General features: G+C 54.1%; 1 protein-coding gene across 6 annotated transcripts, besides 10 other annotated features; it reads left to right on the top strand.

Moving 5' to 3' along the window:
- Positions 769-1,397: an enhancer, noted in NCBI's record as "H3K27ac hESC enhancer chr19:59050471-59051099 (GRCh37/hg19 assembly coordinates)". NCBI's record gives its function as "activates a minimal SCP1, AML or CMV promoter by ChIP-STARR-seq in naive H9 embryonic stem cells {active_cell/tissue: H9 hESC(naive)}" and the evidence as "EXISTENCE:reporter gene assay evidence [ECO:0000049][PMID:30033119]".
- Positions 1,398-2,028: an enhancer, noted in NCBI's record as "H3K27ac hESC enhancer chr19:59049840-59050470 (GRCh37/hg19 assembly coordinates)". NCBI's record gives its function as "activates a minimal SCP1, AML or CMV promoter by ChIP-STARR-seq in primed H9 embryonic stem cells {active_cell/tissue: H9 hESC(primed)}" and the evidence as "EXISTENCE:reporter gene assay evidence [ECO:0000049][PMID:30033119]".
- Positions 1,398-2,106: a biological region, named in NCBI's record as "H3K27ac hESC enhancer GRCh37_chr19:59049840-59050470".
- ZBTB45 (zinc finger and BTB domain containing 45) lies at positions 1,590-26,971 on the top strand. Of its 6 annotated transcripts, none has more exons than NM_001316982.2 (3): positions 1,590-1,800; positions 22,828-24,106; positions 26,191-26,971. In NM_001316982.2, exons 2-3 carry the CDS (start codon positions 22,828-22,830, stop codon positions 26,445-26,447), a joined length of 1,536 nt encoding a protein of 511 aa, NP_001303911.1. In that variant the 5' UTR covers positions 1,590-1,800; the 3' UTR covers positions 26,448-26,971. The 6 variants fall into 6 exon arrangements, with proteins under 6 accessions (NP_001303911.1, NP_001303908.1, NP_001303910.1 ...); NM_001316979.2 differs by lacking the exon at positions 1,590-1,800 and adding an exon at positions 20,691-20,759; NM_001316981.2 differs by lacking the exon at positions 1,590-1,800 and adding an exon at positions 20,691-20,884.
- Positions 1,797-2,106: a silencer, noted in NCBI's record as "silent region_11090". NCBI's record gives its function as "represses an Ori minimal core promoter by ATAC-STARR-seq in GM12878 lymphoblastoid cells {active_cell/tissue: GM12878}" and the evidence as "EXISTENCE:reporter gene assay evidence [ECO:0000049][PMID:35858748]".
- Positions 20,407-20,726: an enhancer, noted in NCBI's record as "active region_15207". NCBI's record gives its function as "activates an Ori minimal core promoter by ATAC-STARR-seq in GM12878 lymphoblastoid cells {active_cell/tissue: GM12878}" and the evidence as "EXISTENCE:reporter gene assay evidence [ECO:0000049][PMID:35858748]".
- Positions 20,817-20,916: a silencer, noted in NCBI's record as "silent region_11089". NCBI's record gives its function as "represses an Ori minimal core promoter by ATAC-STARR-seq in GM12878 lymphoblastoid cells {active_cell/tissue: GM12878}" and the evidence as "EXISTENCE:reporter gene assay evidence [ECO:0000049][PMID:35858748]".
- Positions 21,784-22,444: an enhancer, noted in NCBI's record as "H3K27ac-H3K4me1 hESC enhancer chr19:59029424-59030084 (GRCh37/hg19 assembly coordinates)". NCBI's record gives its function as "activates a minimal SCP1, AML or CMV promoter by ChIP-STARR-seq in naive H9 embryonic stem cells {active_cell/tissue: H9 hESC(naive)}" and the evidence as "EXISTENCE:reporter gene assay evidence [ECO:0000049][PMID:30033119]".
- Positions 26,078-26,127: a silencer, noted in NCBI's record as "silent region_11088". NCBI's record gives its function as "represses an Ori minimal core promoter by ATAC-STARR-seq in GM12878 lymphoblastoid cells {active_cell/tissue: GM12878}" and the evidence as "EXISTENCE:reporter gene assay evidence [ECO:0000049][PMID:35858748]".
- Positions 26,238-26,437: a silencer, noted in NCBI's record as "silent region_11087". NCBI's record gives its function as "represses an Ori minimal core promoter by ATAC-STARR-seq in GM12878 lymphoblastoid cells {active_cell/tissue: GM12878}" and the evidence as "EXISTENCE:reporter gene assay evidence [ECO:0000049][PMID:35858748]".
- Positions 26,458-26,507: a silencer, noted in NCBI's record as "silent region_11086". NCBI's record gives its function as "represses an Ori minimal core promoter by ATAC-STARR-seq in GM12878 lymphoblastoid cells {active_cell/tissue: GM12878}" and the evidence as "EXISTENCE:reporter gene assay evidence [ECO:0000049][PMID:35858748]".

Here is a 27,904-nt window from a genome sequence, read left to right as displayed (position 1 = left end):
AGGGTCTGTGTGGGGAGAATCCTGTCTGAGGAGGGAAGCAGGGTGTGTGGGGGGAGCCCTGTCTGAGGAGGGAAGCAGGGTGTGTGTGGGGAGAATCCTGTCTGAGGAGGGAAGCAGGGTGTGTGGGGGGAGAATCCTGTCTGAGGAGGGAAGCAGGGTGTGGGGGGAGAATCCTGTCTGAGGAGGGAAGCAGGGTCTGTGTGGGGAGAATCCTGTCTGAGGAGGGAAGCAGGGTGTGTGTGGGGAGAATCCTGTATGAGGAGGGAAGCAGGGTGTGTGTGAGAAGAATCCTGTCTGAGGAGGGAAGCAGGGTGTGTGGGGGGAGAATCCTGTCTGAGGAGGGAAGCAGGGTGTGTGGGGGGAGAATCCTGTCTGAGGAAGGAAGCAGGGTGTGTGTGGGGAGAATCCTGTCTGAGGAGGGAAGCAGGGTGTGTGGGGTGAGAATCCTGTCTGAGGAGGGAAGCAGGGTGTGTGTGGGGAGAATCCTGTCTGAGGAGGGAAGCAGGGTGTGTGTGGGGAGAATCCTGTCTCAGGGAAGCAGAGTCTGTGTGGGGAGAATCCTGTCTGAGGAGGAAAGTAGGGTTTGTGTGGGGAAAATCCTGTCTGAGGGAAAGAGGGTCTGTGTGGGGAGGGGAACTCTGTCTGAGGAGGGAAGCAGGGTGTGTGGGGAGGGGAGCCCTGTCTGAGGAGGGAAGCAGGGTCTGTGTGGGGAGAATCCTGTCTGAGGAGGGAAGCAGGGTCTGTGTGGGGAAAATCCTGTCTGAGGAGGGAAGCAGGGTCTGTGTGGGGAGAATCCTGTCTGAGGGAAGTGGGGTGTGTGTGGGGAGAATCCTGTCTGAGGAGGGAAGCAGGGTGTGTGTGGGGAGAATCCTGTCTGAGGAGGGAAGCAGGGTGTGTGTGAGAAGAATCCTGTCTGAGGAGGGAAGCAGGGTGTGTGTGGGGAGCATCCTGTCTGAGGAGGGAAGCAGGGTCTCTGTGGGGAGAATCCTGTCTGAGGAGGGAAGCAGGGTGTTTGTGGGGAGAATCCTGTCTGAGGAGGGAAGCAGGTTCTGTGTGGGGAGAATCCTGTCTGAGGAGGGAAGCAGAGTGTGTGTGGGGAGAATCCTGTCTGAGGGAAGCAGGGTGTGTGTGAGAAGAATCATGTCTGAGGAGGGAAGCAGGGTGTGTGTGGGGAGAATCCTGTCTGAGGAGGGAAGCAGGTTCTGTGTGGGGAGAATCCTGTCTGAGGAGGGAAGCAGGGTGTGTGTGGGGAGAATCCTGTCTGAGGAGGGAAGCAGGTTCTGTGTGGGGAGAATCCTGTCTGAGGAGGGAAGCAGGGTGTGTGTGGGGAGAATCCTGTCTGAGGAGGGAAGCAGGGTGTGTGTGAGAAGAATCCTGTCTGAGGAGGGAAGCAGGGTGTGTGTGGGGAGAATCCTGTCTGAGGAGGGAAGCAGGGTGTGTGGGGGGAGAATCCCGTCTGAGGAGGGAAGCAGGGTGTGTGAGAGAAGAACTCTGTCTGAGGGACGCAGGATCTGGGGGAGAGGAATCATGTCTAAGGGGAGAAGCAGGGTCTGTAGGTAGAGGCGAACCCGCCTAGGGACTATCAGCGCGTTGAAAACGTGGTGGGTGGGTGCATTGAGGCTGGCCCCGGGGGGGTGGGCCTCAGCCCCCTGTGCGGTGCCCCTGGGGTCGTGAGGTCTCCGGTCCAGGTGACAACGGCTGGGGGCGGGGTAGGTGGCAGCTTCCGGAGGATGTTTGGAGGCCGCGAGGACTGGCGCGAACAACCATGAAACCCATTCGCCACTCCCAAGGCGCGCACAGGTAAAGGTGGCTAGCCGGGCGGGGCGTGAGGGTAACGGGGCACTGCCTCCCCGGGCCCCGCTCCCAGGTGTCCGCACGTGGCTGCAGCACGGGCGCGTCGACCGCTGGGCCGGGTGTGGCCTTTGTTCCTGATGGGGACTGGGGGCCGCGGGGCTTTGTCCCCGCCTCTGCCTTTGTTCCAGCCCGGGCGCGCGGCCCCCCAGATCTGGGCCCACCCCATCCGCGGCATAGTCACCGCCTCCACGCCCAGCCTGCCCCTTCATAGGGCCACGCCTCGCTAGCCGGCCCGCCCCCTCCAGCCCACCACCCTGAAGACGCCCTGGCCCCTGGCTTCCTTCCTCTGATAATAGGGAAAGTTAATGCCAGAGGCTGACGCGTTGAGATCGCTTGAGCCCAGGAGTTGGCTGCAGTGAGCTATGATCGCTCCCCTGCTCTCCTACCTGGGACTGCAGAGCGAGGCCCTGTCTTTAAAAAAAAAAGAAAAGAAAAGAAAAGAAAAAAAAAAAGTTGGTGCTGGCAGTGCACAGGGCGAGGTGTGGGCGTCCTTTAGGAATATTTGCTGTGGCCAGGAACGGTGGCTCACGTCTGTAATCCCAGCACTTTGGGAGGCCGAGGTGGGCGGATCACCTGAGGTCGGGAGTTCGCCACCAGCCTGACCAATATGATGAAACCCCGTCTCGGCTAAAAATACAAAAATTAGCCGGGCGTGGTGGCACGGGCCTGTAATCCCAGCTACTCCGGAGGCTGGGACAGGAGAATCGCTTGAACCTGGGAGGCAGAAGTTGCAGTGAGCTGAGATCCGGCCATTGCACTCCAGCCTGGGCAACAAGAGTGAAACTCTGTCTCAAAAAAAAAAAAAAGGAATATTTGATGAGCACTTTCCACAGCCCTATCCTGCACTGGTCCCCAAAATCACGGGAGAGGGGGACGTGTGGGTCACACAGGACCCACACCTGCCTCTGGCCTCTAGGGTAGACAAGGGTACCAGGGCCAGAAGGTCAAAATATTAATACTATGGTACAAAGTGTGGAAATGGCTCTCCTAGGGGCTGCCCCAAACACTTGCAGGAAGGCAGTTGAGCAGAAACAAGTCCAAGGTCCCTGAGGCAATAGGGAGGCAATAGTGAGGAGTGGTGGGAGGTGCTCAGAGAGGTTACTCTACAGCTAGCAGGGTCTGGGGTATGTTAGATCCCCTGCCACCCTATCATCGGCTGCCCCTCATAACAGGCCCTCCCCAGGCCCTGGCAACACACCTTGGGGTTTCAGTGGCCCATCAAGGTCCATGCTCTTCTCTCTGCACAATAGAGAGGTATTGTAAGAGCACCCCTTTTCCTTCTCCTGGGCCCAAGACCTTCATCCCCAGTATGAGGCAGCCACACAAGCAGCAGGTGTTACCCAATGCCAGCAGCAGACCTTGGAGCATCACCTCCCCACCAGGTTCCACACCACTGTGGGGCCCCATTGTCCACATGGAGAACCTGAGGCTTCAGCAAGTGCCAGGACACCAGTCGGGGAAGGGAGATTAACTAGAAAACAGGCTCAAGCTGACTCAGGGACAGCAGAGTGGGGCTTCCTAGGATTGGCCAAGCCAGGGTGGGTATATAGGAGAGTAAGACTAGGGACCTCACTCAGAGGTCCATAAGTATATGGCAGGACGCTAGTGCACCTTGGTTGGCTCCGCTCCCCAGGTGGCCCGGCAGAGCAGTCAGTATCCCTTATACTTCTGTCCTCCATGCTCCTTGCCAACACTTTACCACGTCTCTCCCTTCCCAGTCCTGGACCACTGTGAACTGTCAATATTTTGGCTTTGCAGACAGGGCATAAGACAGGTGTAGCAATATGCAGTGGTCACTCAGACTGCACCCAGGCCACCTGAGGACTGCCTACTGCCTGGTTGTGCGCCTACCTGAAGATAGCCATCCTCACCCTCTCTTCCCCAAACCCCACACGTGTGCATGCTCTCCTTCCCACCCTCAGGTGTCACCCCCAAAGCCACTTTCTGAGGAGGCATTGTGGCTACATCACTCAAATTTCTTTTTTCTTCTTTTTTCTTTTTTTTGAGATGGAGTCTCGTTCTGTCACCCAGGCTGGAGTGCAGTGGCGCAATCTTGGCTCACTACAACCTCTGCCTCCTGAGTTCAAGCGATTCTCCTGCCTTAGCCTCCTGAGTAGCTGGAATTACAGGTGCCCACTACCACGCCCGGATAATTTTTGTATTCTTTTTTTTTTTTTTTTTGAGACGGCGTCTCCCTCTGTCGCCCAGGCTGGAGTGCAGTGGCGCGATCTTGGCTCACTGCAAACTCCGCCTCCCGGGTTCACGCCATTCTCCTGCCTCAGCCTCCTGAGTAGCTAGGACTACAGGTGCCCACCACCATGCCCGGCTAATTTTTTTGTATTTTTAGTGGAGACGGGGTTTCACCGTGTTAGCCAGGATGGTCTCAATCTCCTGACCTCATGATCCACCCATCTCGGCCTCCCAAAGTGCTGGGATTACAGGCGTGCACCGTCATACCCAGCCAATTTTTGTATTCTTAGTAGAGAGGGGGTTTTACCATGTTGGCCAGGCACTGCACTCCAGCCTGGGCAACAAAAGCAAAACTCCATCTCAAAAAAAAAAATCCAATTCTGGTGACAACTCTAGGGTATGGCCCTGCTGACCTCTGACTTCTGACCTTATCACTCTTCCAGCCACATAGGAGACCTGTTGTCCTCAACTCAGGGCCTTTGTACTTGCTATTGCCTCTACTCAGAATGTTATTCTCTGGGCTCTCTTCTTGGCTCTCTTCTTCCCCATTTCAGCTAGAGAAAATCACAAGGACATGAGCTCCAAATTGTACTCACTACTGCATCCACTGTGCTTAGCCCAGAGCCCACTTCTTGGTGGATCAGTCATCAGCAAATATGTGAAAGGACAAGCAAATGGATGAAGATGATGACCATCTTGAGCCAGTTTTGTAGACCATAACATGAGATTTGGTATCTATTACTTTAAAAATTTTGTTTGTTTGTTTTTGGTAATTGAGTTACAATGTATGGCCAGGCCTGGTGGCTCTTGCCTATAATCCTAGCACTTTGAGAGGCCAAGGCAGGAGGATAGCTTGAGCCCAGGTGCGATCTCTGCTCACTGCAACCTCTGCCTCCTAGGTTAAAGTGATTCTCCTGCCTGATCCTCCTGAGTAGCTGGGATTACAGGCACTAACCACCATGCCCAGATAATTTTTGTATTTTTAGTAGAGACGAGGTTTCACCATGTTGGCCAGGCTGGTCTCAAACTCCTGATCTCAGGTGATCCACCTGCCTCAGCCTCCCAAAGTGCTGGGATTACCAGTGTGAGCCACTGTGCCTGGCCCCGTGTCTATTATTAAAGTACATTTTTTAATTCAAAAAAATCAAACAGGCCGGGTGCAGTGGCTCATGCCTGTAATCACAGCACTTTGGGAGGCTGAAGCAGGCGGATCACGGGATCAGGACATCAAGACCATCCTGGCCAACATGGTGAAACCCTGTCTGTACTAAAAATACAAAAATTAAGGCTGGGCACGGTGGCTCACACCTGTAATCCCAACACTTTGGGAGGCCAAGGCGGGCGGATCATGAGGTCAGGAGTTCGAGACCAGCCTGGCCAAGAGACCAGCCTGACCAATATGATGAAACCCCTTCTCTACTAAAAATACAAAAATTAGCTGGGTGTGGTAGCGGGTGCCTGTAATTCCAGCTTCTTGGGAGGCTGAGGCATGAGAATTGCTTGAACCCAGGAGGCGGAGGTTGTAGTGAGCCAAAAATCATGCCATTGCACTCCAGCCTGGGCGACAGAGCGAGACTCCAACTTGAAAAAAAAAAGAATTAGGTCGGGCACGGTGGCTCACGCCTGTAATCCCAACACTTTGGCAGGCCGAGGTGGGCGGATCACAAGGTCAGGAGATTGAGACCATCCTGGCTAACATGGTGAAACCCTGTCTCTACTAAAAATACAAAAAATTAGCCAGGCGTGGTGGCGGGCACCTGTAGTCCCAGGTACTCGGGAGGCTGAGGCAGGAGAATGGCGTGAACCTGGGAGGTGGAGCTTGCAGTGAGCCGAGATTGCGCCACTGCACTCCAGCCTGAGCAACAGAGTGAGACTCCGCCTCAAAAAAAAAAAAAAAAAATTAGCTGGGCGTGGTGGCACGTGCCTATATTCCCAGCTACTTGGGAGGCTGAGGCAGGAGAATTGCTTGAACCAAGGAATCAGAGGTTGCAGTGAGCTGAGATCATGCCACTGCACTCCAGCCTGGAGATAGAGATTCTGTCTCAAAAAATAATAATAATAATAATAATAATATTCACATAATATCAAATTTATCATTTTAGCCAGTTTAAAAGTGTACATTCAGTGGCATTTCATGCATTCACAATGTTGTGCAGCCACCACCTCTATCTATTTCCAAGTCATTTTCATTACTCCAAAAGGAATCCCTGTAACCATTAACACTCACTCCACAGTCCCCCTCCAACCAGCCCCTGACAATCACTAATCTACTTTCTGTCTCTATGGACTTTTTAACTTTTTGGTGGAGGCTTATGATATGTAGAGATGCAAGCAGGGAGCACCTCAGCTAACCAGCTGTGATAGCAAAGAACAGAACATCTCTGGCTCTCAGAAGCCCATGTCCCTTGTAGCTGACGCCCTAACTTCACAGACAAGCTTTGCCTACCCATAAAACACATGGGGCTTTACTTCTCTGTCTGGCTTCTCAGTGCACATTTGTATGGCCATATATGACCTTAGTTCCTCCCCGGCCCTTGTTGTGTAGGGTCAATTGTATGAATGTCCTTCAGTTTGCTTACATGTTCTCTTGACTGCATTCTCCCTCCTGCTCAGGCTGTTATTAACACAGCTGCTACAGTGGGCAATACCGTATGTGGCTTTTGGCTGGGTGTTTCTTTAACTGTAATGAGGAGCTAACAGAAGATTTTAGCAGAAGGTGGCATGATCTGATTCCCATTTCAAAGGTTCCAGTTGGGGAATGGGTGGGAGCAGAATGGAGAACAAAAGATGAGTGTTCAACTAGATCTTCTCAACTGCTCTTTGGAATCACTATGATTCCTGTTAGTTTCCTGTGGATTTTGTAGCATATTACCACAAACATGGCAGCTTAAAAAAAAAAAACTTTATTCTGTCAAAGTTCTGAAGGCCAGGAGAGGATCCTTCCTTGCTTCTTCCAGTTTCTGGTGGCCTCGGCTTGTCACTGCATCACTCCAGTCTTGAAGGCTGACAGCTTCAAATACCTCTGTTCTCACTTCATATTGCCTTGTCTTCTATGCATCGTTGCTGTGGACTGAATTGTGTCCTCTAAAATTCGTATGTTGAAGCCCTAATCTTCATTGTGATGATATTTGGAAATGGGGCCTATGGGAAATAATTAGGGTTAGATGATGTCCTGATAGTGGGGCCCCATAATGGGACTAATGCCCCATAAGAAAAAATGCCTTTGGGAGGCTAAGGCGGGAGGCTTGCCTGAGATCAGGAGTTCAAGACCAGCCTGGCCAACATGGTGAAACCCTGTCTCTACTAAAAATATAAAAATTAGGCCGGACGTGGTGGCTCACGCCTGTAATCCCAGCACTTTGGGAGGCCAAGGCGGGTGGATCACCTGAGGTCGGGAGTTTGAGACCAGCCTAATCAACATGGAGAAACCCCATCTCTACTAAAAAAATACAAAATTAGCCAGGCATGGTGGCACATGCCTGTAATCCCAGCTACCGGGAGGCTGGGGCAGGAGAATCACTTGAACCCGGGAGGCAGAGGTTGCAATGAGTCCAGTTCACGCCACTGCACTCCAGCCTGGGTGACAGAGCGAGACTTTTTCTCAAAAACATGGCCGGGGTGGTGGCTCACGCCTGTAATCCCAACACTTTGGGAGGCCGAGGTGGGCGGATCACCTGAGTCAGGAGTCTGAGACCAGACTGCCCAACATAGTGAAACCTTGTCTCTAGTAAAAACACAAACAATGAGCTGGGCATGGTGGCACACACCTGTAATCCCAACTACTCGGGAGGCTGAGGCAGGAGAATTGCTTGAACCCGGCAGGCAGAGGTTGCAGTGAGCTGAGATTGTGACACTGCACTCCAGCCTTGGCGATAAGCGCGAAACTCCATCTCAAAAAAAAAGAAAAGACAAATATGTGGAAGAGCTCCACCCCAGCTTCCCCCAACACAGCAAGAGGAGAGTCCTCAGAATGAAACCTACTTTGCCTGCACCTTGATTTTAAACTTTCCCTTCCAAAACTGTGAGAAAAAATCTTCTGTTGTTTGTGCCATGTAGCCTTACGTTATTTTCTCCTCTGCCTCTCTCTTACGATTCATGTTAATTTGCATGTAGGGCGCACCAAATAATTCCAGGTAATCTCCCCATTTCAAGAACCTAAATCACAATTACAAATACCCCTTTTCCTAATAAGGTAACACTTCCAGGTTTCAGAGTTAGGATGTATATATCATTGGGGGCCATTTTCAGTTACTTCAGTCCCAATTTCACAGATGGGAAAACATTCCCAGAGAGTAGAAGGGACTGTTCAGAGCTCCACATTGTGACCTGTACAAATTCAACCCACTCCTGGACTTGGTGGGTGCCCTCGCCCCTTCTGTTTGCTGCCTTCCCAAAGCATCCTGTAGCTTCCAGGGAAAGGAAGGAGGGGGGAGGACAGGAGACACTCAGAGCCCAGAGTCTCATCCCTTTCCCTGCTAATAGGAACCAGGGCTCCTGGGGAAAATGGCTGATTCAAGGACTGTACAGGGACAGACTATACAGGGAAAGTCCTAGCTGAGCCTGAAACACCTTGTTGTATTACAAAGTAAGAGGTGCCCAAAGAATGGTGGAAATATGTTAAAAGGACATAGATGCCAAACCTGATCAAACAGCTGGAGCATCAGAAAGAACAGTGACCGTCATCGGCTGATGCACAATAAATCCACACTACCCATGAGTCCTTAAGTGTTCTCAAAAAAAGAGATCCAGAAAAATAAACCCATCTGTCACCATATGATGCTGATTTTAAGCCAGCCCCTCACTCTGAGAACTTGGCATCAATCCTGCCTTCCCAAGGGGAACCGTATTTCAGGGGAACACATGGCCCCAGTTCTTGCTTGCTTACCAAAGAATGCCCACTGATAATTAGATGCTAGAATTTGAAAAAGCCTAATTTGCCAACCCATAATGAAATCCCTGCACTGCCCAGGATTATCTGCTTATGTTATGAGGTACATGGAGGGTGTGGTGTCAACATGGCTGTGTAGGGGGAACCCGTAAGTGTACAGGGGACAGTCAGGCTGTCAGTGCCCCACGTTAGGGTTGATGACACGATCCCACCCTATAAATGCTGTATGTATTTTATGGCTTATAGATTAGACATCAATACAACTATTTAAAAAGGAGAAGGAGACGAGGTTCAAAGAACATATACAAATGGCCAATAAATGCTCCACATCAGTGTTCATCAGGGAAATGCAAATCAAACCGCAATGAAATACTGCTTCACGCCCACTAGGATGGCTATAAAAATAACTGAAAATGACAAGTGAGAGTGAGGATGTGGAGAAATTAGAACCTTCATACTTTGCTGTGGGAATGCAAAATGGTGTAGCCACCATGGGAAACAGCCTGGCAGTTCCTCAAACAGTTAAACACGATCCAGCAATTCACCTCCAAGGTATATACCCACATGAATTGAAAACAGGTGTTCAGGCCAGGAGCGGTGGCTCACTCCTGTAATCCTAGCATTTTGGGAAGCCAAGGCAGGTGGATCATGAGGTCGGGAGATCGAGACCATCCTGGCTAACACAGTGAAATCCCATCTCTACTAAAAATACAAAAAATTAGCCAGGCGTGGTGGCGGGCGCCTGTAGTCCCAGCTACTTGGGAGGCTGAGGCAGGAGAATGGCGTGAACCCGGGAGGCGGAGCTTGCAGTGATCCAAGATCGCGCCACTGCACTCCAGCCTGCGCGACAGAGCGAGACTCTGTCTCAAAAAAAGAAAAAAAAAAAAGAAAGAAAACAGATGTTCAAACAAATCCTTGTGCAAGAACGTTCACAGCAGCACTATTCATAATAACTAAAAGTAGGGCCAGGCACGGTGGCTCACGCCTGTAGTCCCCACACTTTGGGAGGCCGAGGCGGGCAGATCACCTGAGGTCGGGAGTTTGAGACCAGCCTGGCCAACATGGAGAAACCCCATCTCTACTAAAAATACAAAGTTAGCCAGGCGTGTTGGCACGTGCCTGTAATCCCAGCTACTTGGGAGGCGAGGCAGGAGAATCGCTTGAACTCTGGAGGCGGAGGTTGTGGTGAGCCGAGATCATGCCATTGCACTCCAGCCTGAGCAACGAGCAAAATTCCGTCTCAAAAAAAAACACTAAAAGTAGAAACAACCCAAATGTCCATTAGGTAATTAATTAATGGATAAATAAATGTGGTGTATCCATACAACTGAGGTGTGTGTGTGTGTGTGTGTGTGTGTGCATGCGCTCTCATGGCAAGGTCTCTGTCATCAGACTGGAGTGTAGTGGTGCCATCATGGCTCACTGCAGCCTCGACCTCCCAGGCTCAAGTGATCCTCCTGCCTCAGCCTACCCAAGTAGCTGGGACTGCAGGCATGCACCATCATGCTTGGCTAATTTTTGTATTTTTTGTAGAGACAGGGTTTTGTAACGTTGCCCAGGCTGGTCTCAAACTCCTGTGCTCAAGTGATCCACCTGCCTTGGCTTCCCAAAGTGCTGGTCTTACAGGCATCATGAGCCACCACACCCAGCCATAATGGGGTCTCATTCAGCCATAAAAAGGAAGTACTAATATGTGCTACAACACGGTTGAACCTTGAAAACCTTATGCTAAGTGAAAGAAGTCAGATACAAAACTCACATATTGTATGGTTCCATTTATGTAAAATATGCAGAATCTGGGGTGGGGGTCTAGGGGAGGGATAGCATTAGGACAAATACCTAATGTAGATGACGGGTTGATGGGTGCAGCAAACCACCATGGCATGTGTATACCTATGTGACAAAACTGCACGTTCTGCACATGTATCACAGAACTTAAAGTATAATTTAAAAAAATCCAGAATCAGCACATTTGTTTAGACAGAAGGTTAGGTTAATGGTTTCCAGGGACTGAGGAGAGGGGAGAAAAGTTTTTATTTTGTAGTGAGGAAATTGTTTTAGACCTAGATGGAGGAGGTGGTTGTACACCATTGTGACTATACTAGAAGGCACTGTGTTGTTCACTTTAAAACGGTTATCTGTGTATTTATTGAGATAGGGTCTTGCTCTGAGTGCGGTGGTACGATCCTGCTTCACTGCAGCCTCAACCTCCTCGGGCTGCCATCTCAGCCTCCAGCATAGCTGGGACTACGGGTACACGCCATCATGCCTGGCTAAACTTTTTTTGTATTTTTTTGATACAGGGTTTGCCATGTTGCTCAGGCTGCTCTCATATTCCTGGGATCAAGCGATCCCCCTGCCTTGGCCTCCCAAAGTGCTGGGCTTACAGATGTGAGCCACCACATCCGACCCCATCCTTGTTTTCAAAAGATGCTTTATGAGGTTAAAAGATGAGCTCATCAATGTCTTTTTTTTTTTTTTTTTGAGATGGAGTTTTGCTCTCATTGCCCAGGCTGGAGTGCAATGGCGTGATCTCAGCTCACTGCAACCTCTGCCTCCCGGGTTCAAGCAATTCTCCTGCCTCAGCCTCCCAAGTAGCTGGCATTACAGGCATGCGCCACCACACCTGGCTAATTTTTCTTTTTAAAATGTTTTAATTATTATTATTATTTTTTGAGACAGAGTCTCGCTCTGTCATCCAGGCTGGAGTGCAGTGGCGCGATCTCAGCTCACTGCAACCTCCGCCTCTCGAGTTCAGGTGATTCTCCTGCCTCAGCCTCCTGAGTAGCTGGCACTACAGGCGCATGCCACCACACCTGGCTAATTTTTTGTAATTTTAGTAGAGACAGTGTTTCACCATATTAGCCAGGATGGTCTCGATCTCCTGACCTCGTGATCCGCCCACCTCGGCCTCCCAAAGTGCTGGGATTACAGGCGTGAGCCACTGCGCCCAGCCTAATTTTGTATTTTTAGTAGAGATGGGGTTTCTCCCTGTTGGTCAGGCTGGTCTTGAACTCCTGATCTCAGGTGATCCGCCCACCTCAGCCTCCCAAAGTGCTGGGATTATAGGCGTGAGCCACCGCACCTGGACTTTTTTTTTTTTTTTGAGAACTAGTCTTGCTCTGTCGTCCAGGCTGGAGTGCAGTGGCGCGATCTCAGCTCACTGCAACCTCTGCCTCCTGGGTTCAAGCTGCAAGGCTCTAGTATCGGTTTGAACCCCGAGAGCGCACCAACAAACAACACGAGGCGGTGTGGAGCAACATGCTATTTTAATGAGCGCCTGGGTGTCCCAAGTAAGGACAGGGCAGGAGTTTTATAGTCTCCTGTAAACAGGAAGTGTCCTAGTCTGATGTTACTGCTATGTGGTACCCAGGGCCTCTCTCCCTCCATCTTCAGGGGTATGTGTCTTCCGGCCAGCTCTCTTCCTGCTTCTGCTATCTTGCTGATGCACGTTGCTGGCACAAATGGCCTTGCATCTTGGGACTGGGCCTGAGAAGGGAGGAGTTATTTATCCCCCGAAGCTTTCAGGCCCCAGGGAGAATCTTTCACAAGGGATTCTCCTGTCTCAGCCTCCGAGTAGCTGAGATTACAGGCACGTACTGCCACGCCCAGATAATTTTTGTATTTTAGTAGAGACAGGGTTTTGCCAATGTTGGCCAGCCTGGTCTCAAACTCCTGACCTCAGGTGATCCACCTACCTCGGCCTCCCAAAATGCTGGGATTACAGGGGTGAGCCATGGCCCAATATCTTAAACACAAAGCAGGCAGGGTGGAGAGCAGCCCTTGTAAAGAGGGAGGGGACAAAGTCAGGGTGTGGCAAGTCTAGGTTGATTCCTCCTGGACTGAGGCCTTGGCCACCATGGGTCCAGCAGGAAGACGGCTGGGAGAACAAGGCTGGGTGGCTGTTCTGCCTCAGTTGCCCACCTTAGTAGGGAAGCACTTCTCAGACTAGCCACTCCTGAGTGGAAAACACTGAACCATCTGACCAGAGACAATTCACAACACCCGGGTGGCACAGGAGCCTGAGACAAAGTGACAGGACTGGAGAGGGCAGGGACCAAGACTTCATGTTGTGTGATTCCACTGATAGGAAATGTCAAGCAGACACATCCATGGACAGATTCATGGGGACAGGGGTGGGGACGCTCAGGAAATGGGCTGAGCAATCTCATGGAGGTGATGGAGATGTTCTAAAACAGGACAGTGGTGAAGGTTACACAACACAATAAACTGACTAAAAATCACTGAATTGTGCACATGGGAAATTATATGGCAGAGTTCGTGTCTGGAGGTGTGAAAGACTGTCCCCTGGGGCCATAAAACTGGAGCTGCCAAGCTTACACCTACTGTGGGTGGTGGAATTCCTCGCTCCAGGGCATCGAGGAGCAGTGGGTGCAATAGAGGAAAATTGATTAAAGGGAGAATGATTTTAACCTGGCTTCAGTGGATGTATTATCTTCTGGGATGCAGCTAGAGCTTCACTGTGTCTTTTCGGGATGGAACCAGCCAGGTGTCCCACAATAGGGGGTTGGGGCTTTCCCCTTCACCTTAGAGCTTTACTCAAAACACATTTTGTGGCCAGGTGTGGTGGGCCACAACTGTAGTCCCAGCTTCTCGGGAGACTGAGGTGGAAGGATCCCTTGAGCCTGGGAGGATGAGGCTGCAGTGAGCCGTGATCATGCTGCTGCACTCCAGGCTGGGCGACAGAGTGAAACCCTGTCTCAAAAAAATAATAATAGGCCGGGCGCGGTGGCTCACGCCTGTAATCCCAGCACTTTGGGAGGCCGAGGCGGGCGGATCACGAGGTCAGGAGATCGAGACCATCCCGGCTAAAACGGTGAAACCCCGTCTCTACTAAAAATACAAAAAATTAGCCGGGCGTAGTGGCGGGCGCCTGTAGTCCCAGCTACTTGGGAGGCTGAGGCAGGAGAATGGCGTGAACCCGGGAGGCGGAGCTTGCAGTGAGCCGAGATCCCGCCACTGCACTCCAGCCTGGGCGACAGAGCGAGACTCCATCTCAAAAAAAAAAAAAAAAAAAAAAAATAATAATAATAATAACAGCCAGGCGTGGTGGCTCACGCCTGTAATCCCAGCATTTTGGGAGGCTGAGGCAGGTGGATCACCTGAGGTCAGGAGTTTGGGATTAGCCTGGCCAACATGGTGAAACCCCGTCTCCACTAAAAATACAAAAATTAACTGGACATGGTGGCAGGCGCCTGTAATCCCAGCTACTCAGGAGGCTGAAGCAGGAGAATCACTTGAACCCGGGAGGTGGAGGTTGCAGTGAGCTGTGATTGTGCCATTGCACTCCAGCCTGGACAACAAGAGCCAAACTGCATCTCAATAATAATAATAATAATAAAGTCCAGGCACCATGGCTCATGCTTATAACCCCAGCACTTTGGGAGGTCAGGCTGGTCTGGAACTCTTGACCTCAGGTGATCTGCCAAATAGCTGGGATTATAGGCATGTGCCACCATGCCCAGCTAATTTCTGTATTTTTAGTAGAGAGGGGGTTTCATTAAGTTGGTCAGGCTGGTCTGGAACTCTTGACCTCAGGTGATCTGCCTGCCTCGGCCTCCCAAAGTGCTGGGATTACAGGCGTGAGCCACCGCGCCCAGCCTTTGGGTTTTTTAAACTCTTCAGAATTAATCCAAGGGCACAGTACAGGTCAAGGTGCTGGGACTCTGGCAAAGCGCCTGTGGCAGTTGTGTTGTTTTCAGTATTGTCTCAATTTAGGTCTCCTTCTTCCGGAGTTCTCAGGCCTCTGTCCACAGGGCTGGTAGTACCTTCTTCTTTGTATTTTACATATGAAAGCACATTAAATCTTTTCTCGGTTGTAAATTTTCCTTGCCCCCACCTGCCTTTGTTAACAGCCCTCAATACCTGTATGGATGCTGTTACTTTTCTGGTAAATCCCAACGGCAACTTGCCTGGTCCCAGCCATTGCTTCTACCACCTCCCTGGCTCCACCAGGGCCTGGGGCTGGGCCTCCCTCCAGCCTCTCTCTAAGCTGCAGCCTCAGAGGACTTTCTGGAGTATACAGGGGATCCTGCCATTGCCCCTTCACACCTCACACGGCTCCCATGTCTTCTCTGTCCCATCAGAAGGGCTCAAGTCTTCACTGCTGCTATTTGCCTTGCCAGGGACCACCCCTCAGCCTCCGCTGCTATCTGCCTTAAACCAGGAAGCATTTCTGCAGGTATATGCTTAGTGCCTGCTCCTGTGTGTACTCATTTAGTACTTGAAATGCCCCCACAACCATTGTGCATGGATCATGGGACCTGTATTCCACACCTGGCACAACCCAAACCCACTAGGATGGGGCCGGGTTTGTGGACACAAGGACTTGAGTATGACTGCCAAAGAGGGGGAGCCTGGATGAAAGGCTGGCCGGGAAGTGATGGAGGGTGGAGGGAGGTTGGGATCCTGACTGAGATGGAATCAGGCACAGCCGAGAGGTTCTGGAAGACTCCTTGGTGGGAGCTGTCTGTTCTCTGACCCATGCTGTCAGAGGGGCCCTGCCTTAGCCAGCTGAGGAGGCCCAGTCACCCTGGAGCTCAATTTCTTCTGCTCCTTTCACATCTGTGGTCACTGTGCTCTCACAGACTCTTCCCTCAATGGCCACCATTTCCCATCTCAGGCCTTGGGCTTAGCCTGGAATTGTTTTTTTGTTTTTTTTTTTTGAGACGGAGTCTCACTCTGTCGCCCAGGCTGGAGTGCAGTGGCGCAATCTCGGCTCACTGCAAGCTCCACCTCCCAGGTTCACGCCATTCTCCTGCCTCAGCCTCCTGAGTAGCTGGGACTACAGGCGCCTGCCACCACGCCCAGCTAATTTTTTGTATTTTTAGTAGAGATGGGGTTTCACCGTGTTAGCCAGGATGGTCTCGATCTCCTGACCTCGTGATCCGCCCGCCTCGGCCTCCCAAAGTGCTGGGATTACAGGTGTGAGCCACTGCACCCGGCCTAGCCTGGAGTTTTTAATATTTGCAGGCCACATCGCCCTCCTCCCTAGCTTGTCAAACCTGTGTTCTCAGGTACACATTTATTCCTTGAAATGCCCCCACAACCAGGGTTAAGGTCTTTGGGTTCATACACACACACACACACACACACACACACACACACACACATATATGAACACACACACACACACACACACATATATATACACATTCTTTTTATTATTATTATTATTATTTTGAGACGGAGTCTTGCTCTTGTCGCCCAGGCTGAAGTGCAGTGGCGCGATCTCGGCTCACTGCAACAACCGCCTCCCGGGTTCAAGGTATTCTCCTGCCTCAGCCTCCCGAGTAGCTGGGATTATAGGGGCCCACCACCACCACGCCTGGCTAATTTTTGTACTTTTAGTGGAGACGGGGTTTTGCCATGTTGGCTAGGCTGGAACTCCTGATCTCAGGTGATCTGCCCACCTCAGCCTCCCAAAGTCCTGAGATGACAGGCATAAGCCACCGTCCCAAGCCCTTTTTTTTTTTTTTTTTTTTGAGACAGAGTCTCCCAGGCTGGAGTGCAGTGGCGTGATCTTGGCTCACTGCAACCTCCACCTCCTGGGTTCAAGGGATTCTTCTGCTTCAGCCTCCCAAGTAGCTGGGACTACAGGCCCCTGCTACCACGCCCAGCTAATTTTTCTATATATATATATTTTTAAAGATGGAGTCCATATCCTGGCTAACACGGTGAAACCCCGTCTCTACTGAAAATACAAAAAAATTAGCGGGGCCTGGTGGCGGGCGCCTGTAGTCCCAGCTACTCGGGAGGCTGAGGCAGGAGAATGACGTGAACCCAGGAGGCGGAGCTTGCAGTGAGCCAGGATTGCGCCACTGCACTCCAGCCTGGGCGACAGAGTGAGACTCCATCTCAAAACAAACAAACAAACAAAAAAGATGGAGTCTTGCTCTTGTCTCCCAGGCTGGAGTGCAATGACAGCTGATCTCTGGCTCACTGCAACCTCTGCCTCCCAGGTTCAAGCTATTCTCCTGCCTCAGCCTCCAGAGAAGTTGGGATTACAGGTGCCCGCCACCATGCCCAGCTAGAGATGGGGTTTTCACCATATTGGCCAGGCTGGTCTCGAACTCCTGACCTCAGGTGATCCACCTGTCTCAGCCTCTCAAAGTGCTGGGATTACAGGCATGAGCCACCGTGCTCGGCCAATTTTTGTATTTTTAGTAGAGACCGGGTTTCACCATGTTGGCCAGGGTGGTCTCGAACTCCTGACCTCAGGTGATCCACCTGCCTAAGCCTCCCAAGGTGCTGAAATTATGAGATTACAGACGCCACCACAGACGCCACCACGCCCAGCCTTGTGAAAAGATCTTTAGAGAGAAAAGGAAAATAACCCTTGAGGCTGCAGCTCTCACCTCCCTTGGCTGCTTGAGAGAGGTCAGGGTTTGGTTTTTCTCCTTCCTGTGTTCATCCTAGCCCTTGGGCAGGGTCTTCCACCCCTATCTTGCCCTAATCCTCCAGGCCCCATCCCTTGGAGCTGAGACTTTCTCTAAAGCCACCCGTGTCCTCTCCTTCCTACCCTGAATCTGTCCCTTTCTACCCTTCACTGCTGTCAGGGCAGCTATTGTTTCCTGCTAGGACTCCTGCGTTTGCCACCCCACTAGGTGCACTGTCTTCCCTACAGCCCCTTAAACATGCTAATGGGGCTAATGGGACATGGCTTCCCCCCCTCAACACACTGCAATCCTGCCACTCAGCCCAAGGTTCACTCATTTGTCTTGCCCAAGGGAGGGCCGTCCTCCCTCCTCAGAGGCCTCATGCATGCCTTTCCCACCTACCCTTATGCTCTTCCCAAAACTCAGCCCAGTGAAAGCAGACCCAGTGGGTCCAGCAGGCCATGGTTTGAGTCTGAACAAAGACGATGATGGCAGGTTATTAGACTTGTGTGTTTTTTGTTGTTTTTTTGTTCTGAGACGGATTTTCACTCTTGTTGCCCAGGCTGGAGTGCAATGGTACGATCTCAGCTCACTATAACCTCTGCCTCCCGGGTTCAAGCGATTCTCCTGCCTCCGCCTCCCAAGTAGCTGGGATTATGGGCACCCGCCACCACGCCCAGCTAATGTTTTGTATTTTTAGTAGGGACAGGCCGGGCACAGTGGCTCATGCCTGTAATCCCAGCACTTTAGGAGGCCGAGGCAGGCAGATCACCTGAGGTCAGGAGTTTGAGACCAGCCTGGTGAACATGGTGAAACACCGTCTCTACTAAAAATACAAAAATTAGTGGGGCATGGTGGTAGGTGCCTGTAATCTCAGCTACTCAGGAGGCTGAGGCAGGAGAATCGCTTGAACCTGTGAGGCGGAGGTTGCAGTGAGCCAAGATCGCGCCATTGCGCTCCAGCCTGGGGGACAAGAGCGAGACTTTGTCTCAGAAAAAAAAAAAAAAAAAGTAGAGACGGGGTTTCACCATGTTGTCCAGGCTGGTCTCAAACTCCTGACATCAGGTGATCCACCCGCCTCGGCCTCCCAAAGTGCTGGGATTACAGGTGTGAGCCACTGTGCCCAGCCTAGACTTGTGTTTTAATGAGGTTTCCCACCTGGTACATATTTTCCTCCCCCTGACCTCCAAATACCACATCTACAACACAATCACCCAGTAGCTGTCCTGGGTGAAGGACAGGCATCCTGACCCTGTCTGTCTTCTGGAGGCTTTGTTCTAGTCATGCGTTTGGACAGTTGGTTCCCTCTTTCACTGCCGAGTCCCTCTGTCCTCTGGGATAGGGGAAGTGAGAACTGCTCCCTGAGGAATGAGATCACGAAGGGGCCTGGTAAAAGCTGGGAAGGCACAGAAATAAAGCTTTCAGTGAGGGAAATGTGAGGAATGCGTTCATCAGATGGGAAACAAATAGTGGCATTTATTGGACTCTCACTGTGTGGAGGCCCTGGATCTCACCAGATGTATTTGTTTTCTATCGTTACTATAACAAATTACCAAAACTCCATAGGTTAAAACAATATCCATTTATTAGCTCACCATTCCATAGGTCAGAAGCCCAAGTAGGTCTTCTGTGGGTCTCATAAAGGCTAAAATCAAGGTGTGGTATGGACTAAGCTGCTATCTGGAGGCTCTGGGGAAGAATTTGCTTCCAAGCTCATTCAGGTTGTGGGCGGAATCTAGCTCCACGCACTTCTAGGGCTAAGGTCTGTTTTCTTTTCTTTCTTTCTTTTTTTTTTTTTTTTTTGAGACTGAGTGTCGCTCTTTCGCCCAGGCCCGACTGCAGTGGCGCTATCTTGGCTCACTGCAAGCTCCGCCTCCCGGGTTCACGCCATTCTCCTGCCTCAGCCTCCTGAGTAGCTGGGACTACAGGCGCCTGCCACCGCGCTCGGCTAATTTTTTTTTGTATTTTTAGTAGAGACGGGGTTTCACCGTGTTAGCCAGGATGGTCTCGATCTCCTGACCTCATGATCCGCCCGCCTCGGCCTCCCACAGTGCTGGGATTACAGGCGTGAGCCACCGCGCCCGGCCTTTTTTTTTTTTTTTTTTTTTTTTTTTTTTTGAGACGGAGTCTCGTTCTGTCGCCCAGGCTGGAGTGCAGTGGCGCGATCTCAGCTCACTTCAAGCTCCGCCTCCCGGGTTCATGCCAGTCTCCTGCCTCAGTCTCCCGAGTAGCTGGGACTACAGGCGCCTGCCACCACGCCCAGCTAATTTTCTGTATTTTTAGTAGAGATGGGGTTTCACTGTGTTAGTCAGGATGGTCTCGATCTCCTGACGTGATCCACCCGCCTTGGCCTCCCAAAGTGCTGGGATTACAGGCATGAGCCACTGCGCCGGGCCATGAGGTCTGTTTTCTTGCTGGCTGTTGTTGCAGCTCTTCTCAGATTCTCAGCATGACACCTGTCCTGTTGCATTTCCTCTCATGGACCTCTCTACCTTCAAAGCCTCTGGAACCCTTCTCCTACTTCAAGTTTCTCCACCTTCCTCTTCTGCCTTTAAGGACCCTTATGATACCTTGGACCTACCAAAATAATCCAGAATCATATCCTATTTTAAGATCAGCTAATGAGTAACCTTAATTATTTCCGCAAAAACCCTTTCACCATGTAGTGTAACTATTCATAGGTGAGATAATCATATTTACAGGTTCTGGGGATTTGGGCACGGAAATCTCGGAGGGGGCCATTTTCGGAATTCTGTCCCCCATACCAGATTGACTTGCAATGTCCCAGAATCTCACAGGGTCTAGCTCAGGGGAGGCCCAGAGCAGGGTGAGGCAGTTGTCTATTCCTGTCTGCGTTGTAGTAGAAGGTGCCAAGGCCGAGATGGGGTCCTTTCCCCAGTCCCACCCACAGCGGGCGGGCCTGGAGCGTCTGCAGTAGTGGTAGCTTGCTTGCACCTCCTGGCGGCCAGGGACCGAGACCTACTTCAGCTCTCACCCGTGTCACAGGAATAAGGCCACTTCCCCGGTTCGCAGTGGGGTTTAAACTGGCCAGAACACGTTGGGCACTTGGGCCGGGAACTGCCTTCCCATTCTGCATCACAGGGAGCTTGCGGATTGATCGCGCAGGCCCGCCACACCCCTGATCTCCTGGGCGACGCCGGAAGAGTGCTCTGGTCCAGACATTCCTCGCGACGCGGCAGCCCTAGCCTCTTCGACTTTGGTTCCGACTAAGAGGAGAGCCGGAGTGCAGACTGGCGGGAGCTGATCGCCATAAAAATACCGGAAACGTGCTTCGGCCTAGGGTTTCCCCTGCGCCGCCGCGACCGCAGGCCTCCGTTCCGCCGGGGTAACGGCCCGGAAGTGCGGCCTTGTAGTCGGTCAGGAGGAAGCGGCCACGGCAGAGCCTGGTGCCTGAAGAGGAGTCGGAGGTGGGGTCGAATGGGCATCCCCCTGCCGCAGGGCGGGCGAGGAGGCTGGGGCGTGCCAGGGGAGGGGCACCTGCGCTCCGCTAGAAGCGCACGCTGAGAACGCGAGGGGGCGCTGCAGGACCGGGGTACGGCGGGGGCCAGAGTGCGGGGTGGCAGCGGCGGGTCAGAGGGGTGCTTTGGGCGTAGGGTGGGGCGCGGGCAATGGAGCAGAGTATGGGAGAACGCGCTCGGAGTAAAGCACACGGCGCGGCGAAGGCGTGGCGGGAGTGTGCGGCGCCGGACCCGGGAAGCTGGCCTGGGCGCCGGGTCTCGAGTGCAGGCCTTTGTTCTGAAGTGTCCAGGCCGGCCTTGCGGCGTCGGGACTGAGGAATGGAGCCCGTCGCGGGGCGGGGCGGGAAAGGAAGGTTCAAGTCTCTCGGGTTGATGCGCAAGTTTCCGTCCCCATCGGCCGGACAGATTAGAATCCTTTCAGGTGCTAGGTGAATACAGATGGGGCGGTGCTGCTTGCTGAGTTAGCCTTTGCGCGGGCACAGGCCTGGCTTTTTTGAGGCATTGCACAGAAGGCTCAGAACAGGGCCAGGGAGCGGGGTGGTGTATCCGGATCCGTAGTCTGGAAAAGCTCCCTCTGGCTGCCGTGTGGGGAACAGAAGGGGAGGCGAGGGGCGCAGAGACACCAGCCAGGTTTCTTCATCCGTCCAGGACAGCGGGAACGGGGCAGTGGAGGTGCTCGAAGTGGTCTGAGGGTCAAATGTGGGGCATGCAAAAAAGGGAGGCGTCTGGCTGAGCAAAGGGACGGCGGATTGGGCATAAGGAGTCGGAGGGGTTGAATCTTGAGACCCCAGTAGAGCCCGAGGGTGTAGGGGCAGCATCAAGCCGAGCCCACCCTGGGGCTTTGTGACTCCAAGGGAGAGACAGGCTGGTGGAGCCTATACGGATGTCAGAGTCCAGAGCTCCTACCCTCCTCCCTTAGACTGGAGGTGTGTGCAGTCTGGGTGCGGGATGAGCCGAGTATCTCATCCCTTGTTTGATAGAAGGGGAAACAGGCCGAAGGATCACGGTTTACCTGCTTGATGGATGGAGTAGCAGAACTCCTCAGATTCCAGAGTCCTCTGAGGACTACCCCCTCCCCTTTCTGGTGCCTGATGTTGGGCCGTGTCCCCGATTACTCCATGGGCAGCTATCCAGTCACACACCCCTGCTCAATCCACACTTCCCCTCTCTGTGCCACACCCACACCCTGGGCCCCACAGGCCCCATCGAGATGGCAAGAAGCTGGGGCTGCAGGAGCCACCTCCCTGCTCGCTATGCTAGGGGCTGCCAGGGAGCATGTACTGGTTTCCCTGGGGCATCTCCCAAGGTACTGCCCAACCTTTTACCCTCAGCCCTTAGTGACTAGGCACACCCAGAACCACCCTGCCCAGGAAGCAGGTCATGCCACCCCACTCCTGCGAGAGCCTCTGTATATACTAGTTAAGGTGACCTGGTTCTGAGGCAGCAATCCTGCCTATGCACAGGGTCTCATACTGGGGGGATGTGGCTAAAGGAAACCAAAAGGAGCTGTCAGCAGGGGTGGAGGAGGAGTGGAAGCTAGCTGGGTAGAGAGCAAGGTCTACTCGGGGTGAGGCAGGTTAGCCAGTTGGGATGGGGGTCCCTGGCCTCTTCTACACACCGGGCTGCCCTCTTGGAGGGGCACATGGGGAGGCTTAGGGTTATTGGAGTTGGGGTGGGGTGGGTGGGTGAGTCAACATAGAGTAGGCCAAGGCCTGAACCTTTTCGGGAGCAGTGATTGAGGCCAACACCCTCTCCTAGGGGTGTGCTAGGGTTTGCAGCGTTAATGGGGGGCTGTAGACGGCCTGGCCAGGTCTGAGGTAGGGGGAGGAGGGAGTGCTGGAGTGTCCTGTGTTGGGAATGGGGACTGTGAAGGGCAGCTGGGGAGGGATGGGTTAGCGCGCCTTGGAGTGTGGTGCACTCGAGCCCTGTCCTGCAACAAGGGGTGAGGGGACAGGGACGTTGGGACAGATGGGGGTCCTCAGTTGACCTCTCCCTGCCCTCCTCTTGTTCTGTGCAGATGGCGGCTGCAGAGGCTGTGCATCACATACACCTGCAGAACTTCTCACGCTCTCTGCTTGAGACCCTCAATGGGCAGAGGCTTGGGGGACACTTCTGTGACGTGACTGTGCGCATTCGTGAAGCTTCGCTGCGTGCCCACCGCTGCGTGCTGGCGGCCGGCTCACCCTTCTTCCAAGACAAGCTGCTGCTCGGCCACTCTGAGATCCGTGTGCCTCCGGTGGTGCCCGCGCAGACAGTGCGACAGCTGGTAGAGTTCCTGTACAGCGGTTCGCTCGTTGTGGCGCAGGGTGAAGCCCTGCAGGTGCTCACGGCCGCGTCAGTGCTTCGCATACAGACAGTTATCGACGAATGCACGCAGATTATCGCCCGCGCTCGAGCCCCGGGCACCTCTGCGCCCACGCCCCTGCCCACCCCTGTGCCCCCGCCACTCGCACCTGCGCAGCTGCGTCACCGCCTGCGCCACCTGCTGGCTGCACGTCCCCCGGGGCACCCCGGTGCTGCACACAGCCGTAAGCAGCGCCAGCCCGCGCGTTTGCAGCTGCCAGCGCCCCCAACACCTGCCAAGGCTGAGGGGCCTGATGCTGACCCCTCACTGTCCGCGGCCCCTGATGACCGAGGTGACGAGGATGACGAGGAAAGTGACGATGAGACCGATGGCGAGGATGGCGAAGGTGGCGGCCCAGGCGAGGGCCAGGCACCTCCTTCCTTCCCAGACTGTGCTGCTGGCTTCCTCACTGCTGCTGCTGACAGCGCGTGCGAGGAGCCCCCTGCACCCACTGGCCTCGCTGACTACAGTGGTGCCGGGAGAGATTTTCTTCGGGGAGCTGGGTCAGCTGAGGACGTATTTCCAGACAGCTATGTATCCACTTGGCACGACGAGGATGGCGCTGTCCCCGAAGGCTGTCCCACTGAGACCCCTGTCCAGCCCGACTGCATACTGTCTGGATCCCGCCCGCCTGGTGTGAAGACCCCAGGGCCGCCCGTTGCACTCTTCCCCTTTCACTTGGGTGCCCCTGGGCCACCCGCACCACCCCCTTCAGCACCATCGGGGCCAGCCCCTGCGCCCCCACCCGCCTTCTACCCCACACTCCAGCCCGAGGCAGCCCCCAGTACTCAGCTGGGGGAGGTCCCGGCTCCCTCTGCTGCTCCCACCACGGCCCCCTCAGGCACCCCTGCTCGCACCCCAGGTGCTGAGCCACCTACGTATGAGTGCAGCCACTGTCGCAAGACGTTCAGCTCCCGGAAAAACTACACCAAGCACATGTTCATCCACTCGGGTGAGCCAGGGCGGGGGAGGAGAGGGAGCAATCTCTCATCGGAGAGTTAAACCTGAGGGGGAATTGAGCACTAGTTACAGGGCACTGGCACTGTTCTGTTACTTTTGGTTAGCAGGGGGCCTAGAAATTGAGCCTTCCCCCAAGTGCAAGGTATGTGGGGGAGGGGAAAGCCCCACTCTGTGGAGCAGCAGGCACTGGCTTCTGTGGAGGGGGATCCTGAGGCTGGGTAGGGAAGCAGGAGCCTGTCCTGGCCTTTGGAAGGGTGGTGGTGGAAACTTGAGCAGCCTGGGATGCACATGATGGGTATGGAGCCTTGGCAGGAGGTCCTGGCAGGTTGGGAAACTATGCTCCAGGGAGCCTCCTGTGTCTCTCTGGTTTCCAGCTGTCCCGTTATAGGCTGGCAGCAAGGGAGGATGGGTTTACAGGCCCAGGGGTAGAAAGCCCTCAGAGGTGGTGGGATGAAGGCCCCAGGAACTCCTGAGACTGGGGCATGAGTAGGAAAACATAGGTAGTGTGGGGACTCCACAGCTGCAGAGGACCCCGAAAAGCTGTGGGGAGGTTCCCTCGGACCTTGGCCGTGTCAGGGAGGCGGCTCTGCAGTGCTGCAGGAGAGGTAAAGAGTGGGAGGGTGGTACTGGGGAATGTGGTGAGGATGCTCCCTGGGGGCTCTGAGATGGAGGACAAAGGAATGGAAAGCAGAAGCCTGCTGAGCATTGTCAGAAAAAGCAAAAATTTGGCTGGAAGGCCACAGTGATAGTGAGGGGGTTTCTGCAGGGGCTGGAACTTGGGATTTGACTGTGAGTGGTGGGGAAGCCATGGTGTTCTAAGCTGGGGAGTGACTGAGATGTCAGTTTAAAATCACCTCTGGCTGCCCTGGGAGAAGCCAGGGGCCTGGGAATAAGGGAGTTGGGTGATTAGTCTCCAGGGAACTGCCAGAGGCCCCAGGGTAGTGCTGGCTGTGTGAAGTGTGTGATCTGAGCCAGGTGCCTGGGCCAGGTTATTCTGGGGTACCCTCTGGCAGGCACTGCCTTTCAGTCCACTGCCACTGAGATAGGGTTTTTTTTTTTTTAATTTTTTTTGAGACCGAGTCTCCCTCTGTTGCCCAGGCTGGAGTGCAGTGGTGTGATCTCGGCTCACTGCAACCTCTGCCTCCTGGGTTCAAGTGATTCTTGTGCCTCAGTCTCCCAAGTAGCTGGGATTACAGGCGTGCACCACCACACCCGGCTATTTTTTGTATTTTTAGTAGAGATGGGGTTTCACCACGTTGGTCTCGAACTCCTGGCCTCAAGCGATCTGCCTGCCTTGGCCTCCCAAAGTGCTGGGATTACAGGTGTGAGCCACCACGCCTGGCTGAGACAGGCATTTTGTTAACATCTGATGAATCTAGGGGTGGACTCAGACTGCCTCCCCTCCCCTAACCCAGAATGAGGAGCTCTCTCTATCACACCAAGGACATTATAGTGGCCAGCGGGCAGGGGTTCTGGGCAACTGGGGCTTCCTGCAGGAAGGTGGCAGATGTGCCCAGGTCCCTCCTTATGAAAGGGCACTGGCCTTGTCAGACTGAGTTTAGGGGACTCTATGGGCATAGGCGAGGGGGGCCAGGACCCAGTGTCTCCCTGTGCCGGGTGGGTAGGGGTTGAGGGGGAGGGTACCTGAGGGTAGAGGGAGATCCCAGTGGGCAGTCCAGATGGCCAACAGATGTTCCAGACAGGCTGGGTTCCTTGCAGACAGGGTGCTTGCTGGATTTAGGGGTGCCCTGTCACAGTGATATCCCAGGATAACAGAAAGGGGGTCCCTGCCAGGAAGGGATGGGAGAGGGGTACCTCACAGTGTATGAGGATCCCTGTTGGGCAGGAAAGTCCCAACGTGAAGGGAGGTCCTGGAGAGGAGGGGGTGTCCCTGCTGGGCAGGAAGATCCCATAGTGAGGGGAGGGTTCTCTGATAGGCAAGGGATCCCGGGGTGGTGGTTCGGGAGGGGAGGGGAGCCCCTGCTAGGTCCAGGAGCCCAGGTGGGGGTGGGGTGGGGTGGGGGCGGGGAGCTGTAGAGTCTGACTTGCGTTCGCGGCCCGCCCTGTCTTCCGCAGGGGAGAAGCCGCACCAGTGCGCCGTGTGCTGGCGATCCTTCTCTCTACGCGACTACCTGCTCAAACACATGGTCACGCACACCGGCGTGCGCGCCTTCCAGTGCGCCGTCTGCGCCAAGCGCTTCACGCAGAAGAGCTCGCTCAACGTGCACATGCGCACTCACCGGCCCGAGCGCGCGCCCTGCCCCGCCTGCGGCAAGGTCTTCTCGCACCGCGCGCTGCTGGAGCGCCACCTGGCGGCGCACCCTGCGCCCTGATGGCGCTGGGGCCTGGCCTCGCCCACGGTGGATCCGGGGCCTCCCGCACAGTCGGCCACGCCCGCTGCGGGACCCGTGGTTCCCGCCACTAGACCACGCTCCCTCCTGAGCGCAGGTCCTCTCTCTCCCTTCACCCTTTCTCCATACCAGGGCCTAAGTCCGCCTTACTCCTCTCCTCCATGTACTTGAACCCTCCAGGTGGTGCCGGGCTGGGGCTGGGGCTGGTTAGACCACTTCTGAGAACTGGACTATTTCCTGCGTAAACCGGGCGCTCAGGCGCTTGGACCCGGCCCAAGATTTGACTCCGGTTCTCACCCCGCCCTCTCCTGGGGTGGTGGTGGGGGCTGGGGGGCCGCTTGCCTGCCCCAGGGTCAGGCTGGGCAAGGTCCCTAGCTCTCTACCCAAGCTGTTACTCCCTCATGGGGCGCCTAAGGAGACTCAAGTGGACCCATCATATATGGGGGCTGGGCCTCGGGACTCTCGCTCTAATAAAGGACTGTAGGCCATGGGGCCTAAACCACGAAGCTGTGAGCACCTGGATCAGTGCGTGCCTTGCCCTCATAGACAAGATGTGAGTGTCAGGGTTCAGCGTCCCTGTTCTTGGGTGGCATCCATGCGGCCCACAGGCTGTCCTGGGCAGGAACAGGATGGTCCACTTTGCCATCTAGGACCTCTATTCTGTAGGGGCTAAGGTGGGCTGCATATATAACCAGCACTTGGTTCTCTTGGATCCCTCAGTCCTGTGGGGAGTAGGATAGGCAGGCCACATCTGAGGTGGGTCTCCGAGAGGGAGGCCACGTGAAAGCCCCATCATACTCCTGGTTGCTGCTGTCCACGACCTTTAAGGCCCCTCCCATAGATCTTCCAGTCAGGCTCTAAGGGTCTTTTGGACTTAAGACTTCCCCTCCCCGACCTTGATGGACATGGCTGAGCACCTTACTTGTGGGGAGCCCAGGGGGATCTTTGGGGCCAGGTTGCACTGAGGGTATATAAGCCCCCATATATCTGCCCTTGGTGCTGGGGGCAAAGTTCAGGGAGGGCTCCGATGGCCGTGTTGGGGGCAGGAAACAGTGAGGGGTGGGATCCTGGGGCTGACTGCTGGGCGGTTGGGGACACCACCCCTACTGGCCAGCCAGTGTCCCAGGCCCCTGCATCCAGCGGAGAGAGCAGCCACTCTTTGCCCCTCTCCTCTTCAGCACAATAGTGGCTCCTAGCCTAGGTGCCCTGCCATAAGGATTTGGAGCTGGTGGAGTGGGGTATGGCCCCAGGCCATACCCCAGCCTGACCTGCCAGGCTCCTAGGCCAATGGCAGCTCCTCTGGGTTCACCTTCTGAGACTGCTTCCTCAAGGTGAGAGGCCAGGGCTTTCATGATCCAACTGTGTGCATCATGGGCTGACTTCAGTCTCCTGAACCCCAGGACTCCATCGTCGTCAAAGCCAGAGGTGGAGCAGAGAGT

The sequence above is a fragment of the Homo sapiens genome, chromosome 19, assembly GCF_000001405.40.
Source record: "Homo sapiens chromosome 19, GRCh38.p14 Primary Assembly".
In the NCBI taxonomy this organism is placed as follows: domain Eukaryota; kingdom Metazoa; phylum Chordata; class Mammalia; order Primates; family Hominidae; genus Homo; species Homo sapiens.
The sequence above is the reverse complement of the archived record's forward strand: the minus strand, read 5'-3'. Positions and strand labels throughout refer to the sequence as shown.